This window comes from Homo sapiens, chromosome 5 (genome assembly GCF_000001405.40).
Source record: "Homo sapiens chromosome 5, GRCh38.p14 Primary Assembly".
In the NCBI taxonomy this organism is placed as follows: Eukaryota; Metazoa; Chordata; class Mammalia; order Primates; family Hominidae; genus Homo; species Homo sapiens.
The window spans coordinates 172,207,597-172,221,390 of NC_000005.10; the positions used below are offsets into that span (position 1 = coordinate 172,207,597).

The following is a 13,794-nucleotide window of genomic DNA, read 5'->3' on the forward strand; positions in this document are numbered from 1 at the left end:
CACCAAAATAAATTTCATATAACAATGAAACCAAAAAGGAAACACACAAGAAACATTTTTGTAACCTCGGATTGGGGAAACATTTTTATAACCTCAAATTGGGGAAGATCGTTTGAGGTTAAGAAAAAAACTCAGAAACTGTAAAATAAGAGACTGACAGATCTGACCAGGAAAAACTTAAAATCTGCACATGGTAAATTCCACCCAAACAAAAGAAATGACAACACATGATAGAAAAGAACCAATTTCCTCAATAAAGGACAGGTACTCACAAGTCTTGACAGTAAAGACCAACATGCGATAGGAATATGGGCAAATAGAACATTCACAGAAAAAAAAAATGGCCTTAAAATATAGTAAAATGTTAAACTTTGCTCATAAGGAAAATACAAAGCAAAACCACAGGTCAAAGTTTTTACTTATCAGATTGTCAAAGATCAGAAAGGCGGTCAGGGTGTAGGAAAATTAAAGCAGTCATATTGCTGTAGTATAAGGATTAATTGGTAAAATCGCTTTGGAAGACATGTCACATAAATCTATAGAATGCAATTCCTCCATCTATGTATACAAAGATCTTACCTATATAAAAGGAAACTCATTGCAGCATGGTTCACAGTAGCAAAAAACTAGGAACAGCAAAGCCGACCAGAATAGAGACTGATGTAACTGTGGTATGCCCAGACCATGGAGTACCACTGCACCTATGAAGAGGAAGGATGCAGATCTAGATCTATGTATGCGGAATGATTTCTGAGGTTTACCATTTTAGAAAAATCAAAGGTGCAGAATAGTATATGTATTTATGGAAAAAAATGAGGTGGAGTGAATATACCCATATACACTAAAAGAGTGGTTTTTGAGTGTGTCTCCCAGATCAGCAGAAGCAGCACAACCCGGGACCTTTTAAGCATGCAAGTTATAGGGCAACATTCAGATCTACTGACTCAGAACGTCTGAGGAAAGGGTCAAGCAATCTGTTTTAATAACCTTTCAGGTGATTCTGATGCATGCTCAAGTTTAAAGATACACAGAAAATGGTCAAAGTTGTTGCCTCTGGGGAGGAGAAACAGAAGAGCGACAGGAGTGAAAGACTCTTTTTGCTTTGATATATCTGGATTCTTTTACCATGGGTGTGTATTGCCTACTTCATAAAGTTATGAAGTATCACCTGCTTTACATGAAATTTACCCAGGCTGGAATAAAACAGCATGATCATGGGTCATTGCAGCCTTGACATCCCAGCTCAAGTGATCCTCCCAACTCAGCCTCCCAAGTAGCTGGGACTACAGGCATGCTCTATCACGCGTGGCCAATTTTTTAATTTTTAGTAGAGATGCGGTCTCCTCTATGCTGCCCAGGCTGGGTCTTGAACTCCTGAGCCCAAGCAGTCCTCCCGTCTTGGCCATCCAAAGTGCTGGGATTACAGGCATGAGCCACGGCACCTGGCCAGCATGATTCTTAAAAAACAAAAAGAAAAACAAAAACACAGCCGGGCGTGGTGGCTCACGCCTGTAATCCCAGCACTTTGGGAGGCCGAGGCGGACAGATCACGAGATCAGGAGATTGAGACCATCCTGGTTAACACAGTGAAATCCCGTCTCTACTAAAAATACAAAAAAATTAGCCGGGCGTGGTGGTGGGCGCCTGTAGTCCCAGCTACTCGGGAGGCTGAGTTCACGCAGGAGAATGGCGTGAACCCGGGAAGTGGAGCTTGCAGTGAGCTGAGATCATGCCACAGCACTCCAGCCTGGGCGACAGAGCAAGACTCCGTCTCAAAACAAAACAAAACAAAACAAACAACAAAAAAAAAAACCCACAACAACCTATTTTAGACCAAGATTTCAGTGCAGAAGATGAAGCACATTTATAAATTACCATGTATGACTTGGCATAGCAGAGCCTAAGTTTGGTGATAATGAACCTGTTATTTACTGAGCAGAGGTTTTAAAAAGGAGGAAAACCTTCATAATTCTCACTTAGAATGAGGCAATTACCCTTATAGAGAGTAAAAACAATTAGAAACCAATAATAAAGGCAAAGACAAAGAGAAAAATTGAACCTTTTTTTTTTTTTTAAAAAAAGCACATAAACCCTACATACTAAAATTATACACATCAAGTACTGGTCCAATCTTATATCAATCTATTTACAATTAAACAGCACCATGGTTTTCCCACCTAGGTTAGTTAAACATGCCCAGAGAATTGTTATTCAAAGCATATGTTCCTTTAAAATAAAATAAACTCTTAAAAAGAGAGCTCAAATCCTCAACAAAGAAAGACCTTTTACCAATCGATATCATAGATATTGATGACATCACCAAATCTGCTTAAGAAAAAAACAGTTTTAAACACTTTTTTCCAGTTGACAAACTTTGAGAAGTGCTGCTATTCGATGTGGCACACAAATGAACAAAAACTTTGATGACAGGAGCAATATACTGATTTACCCTAATATCTCCACCTCTAAACATAAAAAAAATCTCCTTTGGGATTAATGCTGTGGTCTTCACTTGAATTTAGATTCAATCATCAGCAAATTTAAATTAGATATAGCCACAATCTTTAAAATGATTGCATAAAAATAAGGAAGTAGTTAAAGCTCTCAGAAACATGATGTTACAATTACAGATATATTTAATCAGGCAATAGGAAATTCAATACCATTTAAACATTACATTTAAACTAATTAGCAGTTTCATTTTGTCATTAAAATTAATAATGCACTTCACATCCAAACAGGTGTGGAGGGCTGACATTTTCCAACTGAGAACAGCGTTAAGTGCCTTCTTGTCTGTACTTTTCCATCTCATGGATTCTCAGGGGCACAGTGGTCACATGTTAGCCCCCCTTCTCACTTATGGAACCAACTTTTAAAAGGCTCCAAATTCAACCTAACTCTTGGCAGCTTTACTCCAGTCATAGTATAGAAGAATCAGGTTATCTCCCTGGATTTTTCAGTCCCCTAATCTAACTTGCAAAAGGCTCTTAATTTGCTTCTTTGCTACAAAAGATGAGGGAGGAAAATTGTCATCTACCATGACTAGAGGTAACAGTGAACTGGAAAGCACTAAGGTATAAAGCAATGTTTCATTATTTGGTCTCACTGCTAATGTTTATGTGACACCAGTAAATCTTTCACACTTAAAAATTTTGAGTTGAAATTTCCTCTAAAAGACTGAAAATAGGCACAGTTCTCCCAGGCACAGATAAAATAGGCTTTCCTTACACCCCTCCATGCAAAGTGGAGGAAATCATTTACTTTATTAACTTGAGTGGGAACAGCTATAATTGATTTTGGTGTCTCCTGACCCAGGAACCATGCATTTGGGGGTTATACTTAGCTATGAAAAGTTCCAAGCAGAATAGATAGATCAATGAAGGTACTATATAGTAGTGACCTTCTAAGCCTGGATATAAAAATGGCTTCGTTATACAGACCTTTCAAAATACTTATGCAGCAAGATGACAGCGACTTTTCAACTGAGTATCTGTTGAAACTCAAGAGACCTGACTGTATTGATGAAATTATTGCCTAGTGTTCCAGAAGGGTGCCTGCCACTAATGTGCTGGAAGGCACCAAAATTTAGTGTGAATGTAAATAAGGAGCTCAAGATGTGGGGATGAGGAAAGCAACACTAAAGCACAATTTGCCAGTCTCTACTCATTTATGGCTAAATATTAATTGAGCTAAGAATAAAAAACCAGAATAGAAGCAACCTCAAATACTGCTCTTTTCAGTTTCCATTAACCAAAACAAAACAAAACAAAACAAAACAAAACAAAACAAAACAAAAAGGTTAAGTTTTATATCCATTATTTATGGTTTCTGGAAATTATATAATTTGATATATTTTTCTAAAAAAATTCTGTATTCAAAAAGGTGCTTGGTGCTGTCCTTCATGGATGCAATGTTTCATTTACAGTCCAAGTCACTGAAATATAGCCATTACATAGTTGTTGAGTGTTCTAAAATAAATGGTTATCTATTTCTTAACTGCCTTTCAAATTAGAAATTGTAATTACATGAGTCTCAAAGCCTGGCTCTTTGTGTTTTATTATTTTTGTTGGTCTCCATCACAGATGGAATTTTTCACTGGTAATTCCTCAGAACTAAATCCATTCATAGGGAATTTAGAGCAGTGAAATAGATTTCACGCCGCAGAGTAGGAAATGACAACAAGAACCATAAAAAGGAGCAGAGGGATGTGGGAGCTGGCCAACAGGGCTCAGTTCAGTTCTCCACTGGTGTTGGGTTCTGCACAGGTTGGCTCACTATAACCTGTACAACATAGTCCTTTGGGATCTTCAGCTCTTCGAACTTCATTTTGTCAGTGAGAGGTCTGCCAGAAAAAAACCACCGCTGACTACCTGGTTCCACTCCCTCTGCTGCATGCAACCGTCTCTTCATGTGGAATACTGTGTCTGTGCTGCGAACCACAAGCTTGAGGTCTTTGCCTGTGGAAAGGCGCAAACGAAGCTGACATTCATATCCAGAATTGGGTGGTGGCTCAGGAATATCCAGAGTCTCTATGTCGCTCTTTTCCTCTATCATGTTGATTGGCGGTGCCAAGCAATACACTGGAAGCTGATATCTGTTCCCCAGTTCATCGTAGCACTCTGTAAGTGCACCTTCAGAAAGAGAAGATATGAATAAGAACTTAATCCTTAATGAATGCATTTTTGTTTATGCCTCACAAAATGCTTAAGCTTCTCTTGCTAGCATGGCACTGTAGAGAAAAAACATCACTCTCAGCTGATCATCAATGATTATCAAATCCCATGCCCAATTATTTGAGTATTTAATTTTATATGAACCAGAATGCTAGGTCCTTACGCTTATGCTCTTCTAAGTTATTTCATATCCTTTTCACAATTTCATTAAAATGGCATACAACTCAAATGTACTACTAATATTATTAATGCTTACACAAGACGTAGAGAACATTTAAATTACATTAGGATATCTTTTACAGAAATGAATCCGCTACCTTAAACAAGCAAGCAAATTAAAAAAAATTGATTTCTAAGCTCAATTCACCACAAGTGTTCCAGAGCAGTTTTCTTTTATTCTTTTTCTTTTTATTGAGATGGAGTGTCGCTGTGTTGCCCAGGCTGGAGTGCAGCGGCACCATCTCGGCTCACTGCAACCTCTGCCTCCTGGGTTCCAGAGATTCTCCTGCCTCAGCCTTCCGAGTAGTTGGGATTACAGGTGCCTGGTACCATACCCGGCTAATTTTTTGTATTTTTAGTATAGACAGAGTTTCACCATGTTGGCCAGGCTGGTCTCAAACTCCTGACCTCAGGTGATCCACCCACCTCAGCCTCCCAAAGAGCTAGGATTACAGGCATGAGCCACCGTGCCCAGCCCTAGAGCAGTTTTCTTAGTACCTGGACTTCTTTCTTTCTTTTTGAGACAGAGTCTCACTCTGTTGCCCAGGCTGGAGTGCAGGGATGTGATCTCGGTTTACTGCAACCTCCATTTCCCGTGTTCAAGCAATTCTCCTGCCTCAGCCTCCTGAGCAGCTGGGATTACAGGCGCACACCACCACGCCTGGGTGATTTTTGTATTTTTGGGAGAGACAGGGTCTCACCATGTTGGCCAGGCTGGTCTCAAACTCGTGACCTCAAATGATCCACCTGCCTTGGCCTTCCAAAGTGCTGAGATTACAGGCATGAGCCACCATGCCCAGCCCAGTGCCTGGACTTCCTAAATTGAAGCACTTGGCAAGAAGTCCTTAGTCCAGAGATCACAAATTAGAGATGACAGCCTTAGCAGCTGCCACAGATTCATTGCTTATCTATGAGTCTCATTAGTAAAATTACCACAGAAATGACTGAGGTGTTTTATTTAACCCCAATTAATCTATCTAGTACAGATAAGCTATGGATTAAAAAGGAAAAACAAAAGGGCTATGACATAACGAGCTAGCTCAGGGAAGGGAAAAAGCACTCAAGGTTTTAAAAAAATGCATTAATGGTTAACTTCCTTACAAATCATATATTATAATTTCAAAATCAAAAACAAAATTTTAGAGACAAGGTCTTGCTATGTTGCCCAGGCTGGACTCAAAACTCCTGGGCTCAAGCAATCCTCCTGCCTCCACCTCCTGAGTAGCTGAGACTAGGTGTGTAAACTACATTACAGTTACCAGGACTTCCTCGGGGGAACTTGAAAGCATACCTTTTTTTTTTCTTTTTCTTTTTTGAGACGGAATTTCACTCTTGTTGCCTAGGCTGGAGTGCAATGGCGCAATCTTGGCTCACCACAACCTCCGCCTCCTGGGTCCAAGTAATTCTCCTGCCTCAGCCTCCCCAGTAGCAGGGATTACAGGCATGCGCCACCACGTCCAGCTAATTTTGTATTTTTAGTAGAGACGGGGTTTCTCCATGTTGGTCAGGCTGTTCTTGAACTCCTGACCTAGGTGATCTGCTCGCCTTGGCCTCCCAAAGTGTTGGGATCACAGGCGTGAGCCACCGTGCCTGGCCAAAAGCATAACTTAATGAATGTTTTAAGGTTATACGTAACATATCGTTTCCCCAAACTAGAATATGGTATCAGCTTATTATAAATTTGGATAAAAAACCAAAATGTCTACCAAATCCAGAGCACTGAAAAATGGTTATCAATGAACAAATGAGTTAATGAACCGGTATTTGTGTTTAATGTCAATAGGATGAAAATATAAAGCACCTGAAATGAGTCTGGAATGGTCATCAACCCACCACAGGTCCAATCTGGTCTGCCTTCTAAGTTACATAAGATGGGCTGGGGTGATAGCTTAGTTGGAAAGCAGAACACACGTGAATCTTCCCTCTTCTCTGTTTAGCCTCTGTGTATTCACTAATACTATTGTAGAAATGGATCTACTTCAAGCACAGTTGTGATCACTAGCAGTCCCTATACCAGTAACTTCACACTGCCCTTTCCCTTCTGCCCTTCATCCCAGTGAGTCAGGGTTTAGTTTTCAAATCTCTAAAAGGTGAGAGAGAAAAACTCCATGAAGAGTTACAGCTGGATGGTGTATATTCTTACTCATGCTCTGCCAGTGCTCAATCCATAATGCTGGAAGTAAGCTATTTAGATGGTTACAGAAGCTCCCGTATTTCAGTATTTTTAGAAACAGTAATTTGTTTTTTATTTAATATGGAATTTTCTAGTTTATTCTTTTCGGCACTTCTTTCTACAAAATTATAATCTGAGTTGTAAATATGCTCTAGTTTTACATTAAACTAAAAATCAGACTTTCTGTTTCTAGTCTGGCATGCAAAAAACTTAGAAGTCACCACTCCATCCTAACAAGTAAAAGGCTGAGCAAACTGAAAAATCAACAGATATTCTTAATCTGTGGGAGAAGTAAGGTCACAGGGCAAACCACTGCCCCCGAAATAGGAGAGACAGGCAGGGTAATACAGAGCATCACCATTTACCATAGCAGACACCCAGGAGCTGAAATCTCTGTGGAACCAGTGCAGGGTAGGGAAACCTCAAATGTAACCAAGTGAATTGCTAAAGGCTCAGTGTGGACAAGTCTTAGAGAGAAAGCTCCATGGGGACTTGGTGAAGGGTGTCTGGGAAGAGTGATACCTTCCTGAGTTTTACCTTCTGGACCTCTACAACTTCCTCGTAGTGACAGTCAGAATAATTCCCTGGGTTGGAGGAGGGTGCAAAAGGAACCATTTTTAAATATGCCAGAGAATTCTGCCCTCAGAAGAAACTAACTAGAGTCTATCCTGCTGGGGTTTTATCAGAGCCTAACTAATTTGGGAGAAGAGAAATACCCAGCTCTAGCCCCTTCTAGCCATCTTGTCCCACCTAAGGCAGGGACTATGACTGAGAAGCACTGGTCCAGTTCATGATCCAGAGGCAGAGGCTCACAAAAAGACTAAAACCTCCATATTACCGAAGGCCCATTTCACACAGTTCCTGTATATTATGTCCACCTTTCCCAAAAAATTACAAGATGTACCAAAAGGCAAAAAAACAGTTTTTTAGAGCAAGCACAAAACTAGACTCAGATACGGCAGAAGTGTTAGAATGATCAGACTGGGAATTTAAAACATGATTAATATGCTAATGGCTCTAATGGATGAAGCAGACAGCATGTAAGAAGAACAAATGGGAATGTAATAAGAGAGATGGAAATTCTAAAAAGAACCAAAAAGAAATGCTAGAGAACAAAACCACTGTAACAGAAATAAAGAACGCCTTTGATGGGCTTACTGGTAACTGAACACGAATGAGGAAGGAATATCTGAGTTTGATGATATCTCAGTAAAAATCTCTAAAACTGAAAAGCAAAGACAAAAAAGACCAAAAAACCTTGGGAGGTTGAGGCGGGGGTATCACCTCAGGTCAGGAGTTCGAGACCAGCCTGGCCAACATGGCGAAACCCCGTCTCTACTAAAAGTACAAAAATTAGCCGAGCGTGGTGGCAGGCGCTTGTAATAATCCCAGCTACTCAGGAGGCTGAGTCAGGAGAATTGCTTGAACCTGGGAGGCAGAGGTCGCAGTGAGCTGAGATTGCGCCACTGCACTCCAGCCTGGCAACAAGAGCGAGACTGTCTCAAAAAAAACAAAAAACAAATAAACAACAACTACAACAAAAAAGCCCAAAAAACCCCATGAAATCTAAAAACAAAAAACCCCACCACAAAACAGAGTATCCAGAAACTGTGGGACAAACCAAAGTGTAACATACACATGATGGGAACAGCAGAGAAGAACAAGAGAAAGAAACAGGAAAAATATTTGAAATAATTATGACTGAGAATTTTCCAGAGTTAATGTCAGAAAAACTACACACATCTAAGCATATCATTTTCAAACTTCAGGAAATCAAAGATTAAAAAAAAAAACAAACAAAAAACTCCTGGCCAGACATACTGATTCATGCCTATAACTCCAGCACTTTGCGAGGCCAAGGTAGGAGGACTGCTTGAGCCCATGAGTTTGAGGCCAGCTTGGGCAACATAGGGAAACCCCATCTCTACCCAAAAAAAAAAAAAAAAAAAAAAAAAAAAGCCAGAGGGGGGAAAAAACAGCTTACCCACAGAGGAGCAAAGAAAAGAATTAAATGGCTGGGCGCGGTGGCTCATGCCTGTAATCCAGCACTTTGGGAGGCTCTGATGGGCAGATAGCTTGAGATAGCCTGAGCTCAGGAGTTCAAAATCACCCTGAGCAACATAGTGAAACCCTGTCTCTACAAAAAATACAAAAATTAGTTGGGTGTGGTGGTGTGTGCCTGTACTTCCAGCTACTCAGGAGGCTGAGGTGAGGGGATCACTTGAGCCCGGGAGGTCAAGGGTGCAGTGAGCCGAGATTGTGTCACTGTACTCCAGCCTGGGCAACAGAGACAGACCTTGCCTAAAAAAACCACACACACACACAAAACAAAGACAGAATTACATATCCAACTCCAACTTCTCAGAAACCATGCAAGTATACAGTGAAGTGAAATATCTAAAGCATAGAAAAAACCACCAACCTATAATTCTGTATGCTGTGAAATTATCCTTCAAAACTGAAGGAGAGGCAGGGCGTGGTGGCTTATGCCTACAATCCCAGCACTTTGGGAGGCCAAGGTGGGTGGATCACCTGAGGTCAGGAGTTCAAGATCAGCCTGCCTAACACAGTGAAACCCTGTCTGTAGTAAAAATACAAAAAAAAAAAATTAGCCAGGCATGGTGGTGGGTGCTTATAATCCCACCTACTCCGGAGGCTGAGGCAGGAGAATGGCATGAACCCGGGAGGCGGAGCTTGCAGTGAGTCGAGATCGCGCCATTGCACTCCAGCCTGGGCGAAAGTGCGAGACTCTGTCTCAAAAAAAAAAAAAAAAAAGAAAGAAAGAAATAAGCAAAGGTGAAATAAGAACCTTTAAAAAAATTTTTTTTCTTATTTACTTTTAGAGACAGGGTCTTGCTGTCACCTAGACTATAATACACTGGTGTGATCACAGCTCACTGCAGCCTTGAACTCCTTGGCTCAAGGCTATCCCTCCTGCCTTAGTCTCATGAGTAGCTGGAACTACAGGTATACCCCACCATGCCCAGGTAATTTTTGTATTTTTTGGTAGAGGCAGGGTTTTGCCATGTTCATGTTGTCCAGGCTGGTCTCAAACTCCTGGGGGCAAATGATCCGCCTACCTCGCTTGCTGTGATTACAGGTATGAGCCACCATGCCTGGACCAAGAAGAAATAATAATGTTTAATGGGTATGCACCTAACCGCACAGCAAAGTATGTGAGGCAGAACTGACAGAACTACAAGGAGAAAGAGATGAATCCACTATTATAGTTGAAGCCTTCAACACCCCTCAATCAGAAATGGACAGATCTAACAAGAAGAAAATCAGAAATGACATACTTGAATGCAACAATACCATCAATCGATTTAATGTAATGAACATGTTTAAACTACTTCATCCAACAATAGCAAACTACACATTTTTCTCTCAAGTTCACATGGAACATTTACCAAGAGAGACCACATTCTGAAACATAAAACACACCATAACAAAATGAAATCATACAATGTCTGCTTATACCATAATGGAAATAAACTGGAAATGAATATCAGACAGGTAGTTGGAAAATCCATAATACATGGATATTAAACAATACATTTCTAAATAACACATGGGGTCAAAGAAGAAATCAAGAGAAATTAAAATATATTTTAATTAAAGGAAAACAACTTATAATGTCAGGATGCAGCAAAAGCAGTGATCACTGGGAAATTTATAATGCCCATATTAGAGAAGCAGAAATATCTAAAATCAATCAGTAAGCTTCCACGTTGGGAAACTAAAAAAAGAAAACCAATTTAAATCCAAAGTAGGCAGAAAAAAAATTAAAATAGAAATCAATGAAATGGAAAAAATCAATGAAAAAATAAAATCAACAAGGCTGGGCACTGTGGCCCATGCCTGTAATCCCAGCACTTTGGAAGGCCAAGGCAGGTAGATTGCTTGAGTCCAGGAGTTTGCGACCAGCCTGGGTAACATGCACAAAAAAATTTTTGCACAAAAAAATGCAAAAATTAGCAGGGTGTGGTGGTACATGCCTGTAGTCCCAGCTACCCAGGAGGCTGAGGTGGGAGGATGCCTGTCCCTGGGAGTTTGAGGCTGCAGTGAGCTGTGATCTCACTCCAGCCTGGGCAAAGAGTCAGACCCTGTCACCAAAAAAAAAAAAAATAAAAAAATAAAAAAAAAAATAAAAAATAAAAATAAAAAAAATTCAACAAAACCAAAAGCTGATTACAAGGTTTTATTGACCAAAAGGTCAATAAAATTGGTAAGCCTCTACCCAGGCTAGCCAAGAAAAAAAGAGGACACAAATTACTGAAATGAAAGAGAAGACATCACTACAGATCCCACAGATGTTGAAAGGATAATAAAAGAATATTATGAACAACTCTATGCCTACACATTTGATAAACCTAGATAAAATGGACCCATTCCTTGAAAGACACAATCTGCCAAAACTCACACAAAACAGACAATCTGAATAGGCCTACATCTATTAAAGAAATTGAATCAATAATTAATAACTTTCCAAAACAGAAAAGAACCAATTCCAGATGGATTCACTGGTAAATTCTATCAAACATTTCAGAAACAAATTATAACAATTCTCTGCAATCTTTTTCATTAGACAGAAAAGAGAATACAGCATTCCTCCCTTTACTCACAGTTTTGCTTTCTGCAGTTTCAATTTCTCTTGGTCAACTGTGGTCCAAAAATATTAAATGGAAAAATCCAGAATCACACAATTCACAAGTTTTAAATTATTTAACTTTCTGAGTAGCATGATAAAATCTCTTGCCATCCTGCTCCATCTGGCCTGGGACATGAATCAACCTTTTGTCCGGAGTATCCATGCTGTATACACCACCTGCCCATTAATCACTTAGTAGCCATCTTGGTTATCAGATCAACAGTTGCATTATCGCAGTGCTTTAATGGCCCTAAAACACAAGAGTAGTGGTGCTGGCAATTTAGATATGCCAAAAGAAGCCATAAAGTACTTTTTAAAAATGAAAATGTGGAGGTTCTCAAATAAATAAAGAAAAACATCTGTATGTTGCTGTTGCTAAGATCTAAGATAAGAACAAATTTATTTGTGAAGTTGTAAAGAAGGAAAAAAAACTCATGCTAGTTTTGCCGTGGCACTTCAAACCCCAATAGTTAAAACACAGTGCGTGACAAGCGATTAGTTCAGTTGAAAAAGGCATTACATTTGTGGGTGGAAGACAAGAAAAGAATTGTGTTCCAATTGACAGCATTTAGGTTCAGTACTATCCACAGTTTCAAGCATCCACTGGGGGTTCTGGAACATTCCAAGACCATATCTCCCCATGGATAAGGGGGTACCACTGTACTTCCTAACTCATTCTATGAGGCCAACATTACCCTAATACCAAAACCAAACATTACAAGCAAACTACAGACCAGTATCTCTCATGAACATAGACTGAAAAATCCTCAACAAAATATTAATGAATCAAATTCAACACTGTATAAATAATTATACACCATGACCAAGTAGGCTTTAGTCTCAAGTATTCAAGACTGGTTCAACATTTGAAAATCAATTAATATAATCCATAATATCAATAGGCTAAAGAAGAAAAATCACATGATCATATCAATAGATGCTGAAAAAGCATATAACAAAACCCAACACTGATTATCTGTACTAGGAATAGAAGGGAACTTCCTCAACTTGATAAAGAATATCTACAAAAAAGCTATAGCTGGCCGGGCACGGTGGCTCACGCCTCTAATCCCAGCACTTTGGGAGGCTGAGACGGGTGGATCCCCTGAGGTGGGGAGTTCAAGACCAGACTGACCAACATGGAGAAACTCCATCTCTACTAAAAATACAAAACTAGCCGAGCGTGGTGGCACATGCCTGTAATCCCAGCTATTCGGGAAGTTGAGGCAGGAGAATCACTTGAACCCAGGAGGTGGAGGTTGTGGTGAGCCAAGATTGGAGTGAGCCTGGGCAACAAGAGCAAAATTCCTTTAAAAAACAAAAAAACCAAAAAAAAACCTTATAGCTAAGACATACTTAATGATGAGAAACTCAAAGCTTTCCTACTAATTTGGGAACAAGACAAGGATGTCCCCTCTCATCACCACTTTTAAACACTGTACTGGAAGTCCTAGCTAATGCAATAAAACAAGGCAAGATAAGAAAAGGTATACAGATTGGAAAGGAGAAAATAAAACTGCCTTTGTTTGCAGATGACATACTGTCTATGTAAAAAATATGAAGAATCAACATAAAAGCTACTAGACCTAATAAGCAATTATAGCAAGGTTGCAAGATACAAAGTTAATATACAAAAGTCAACTGCTCTCCTATACATCAGCAATGAGCAAGTAGAATATGAAATTTAAAACACAATTTACATTAGCACCTCAAAAAGAAAATAGGTATAAGTCTAACGAAGTATGTATAAGATATGAAACAACAACAACAAAAAACCTTGATAAAATAATTACTAAATAGAGAAAGAGTCCATGTTCATGGATAGGAAGACTTAATATTGTCAAGATGTCAGTTCTTCCCAGCTTAGTCTATAGATTTGATGCAAATCCCAATCAAAATCCCAGAAGGAGGCTGGGCACAGTGGTTCATGCCTGCAATCCCAGTGCTTGGGGAGGCTATGGTGGGAGGATGGCTTGAGGCTAACAGTTCAAAACCAGCCTGGGTAACATAGCAAGGCCCCATCTCTACCAAAGAAATAAAAAATTAGCCAGGCATGGTGGTGCCTGCCCGTAGTCCCA

General features: G+C 39.8%; 1 protein-coding gene across 4 annotated transcripts in view; it reads right to left on the reverse strand.

Moving 5' to 3' along the window:
* Nucleotides 1-2,049: 2,049 nt before the first annotated feature.
* UBTD2 (ubiquitin domain containing 2) overlaps nucleotides 2,050-13,794 on the reverse strand; it is a 74,472-nt gene continuing 62,727 nt past the window's right edge. For all 4 annotated transcript variants that reach the window (XM_047417875.1, NM_152277.3, XM_047417876.1 and 1 more), the window contains one exon: nucleotides 2,050-4,631. In XM_047417875.1, the coding sequence (XP_047273831.1) occupies nucleotides 4,234-4,631 (398 nt within the window). In that variant the 3' untranslated portion in view covers nucleotides 2,050-4,233. The remainder of the gene's footprint in view (nucleotides 4,632-13,794) is intronic.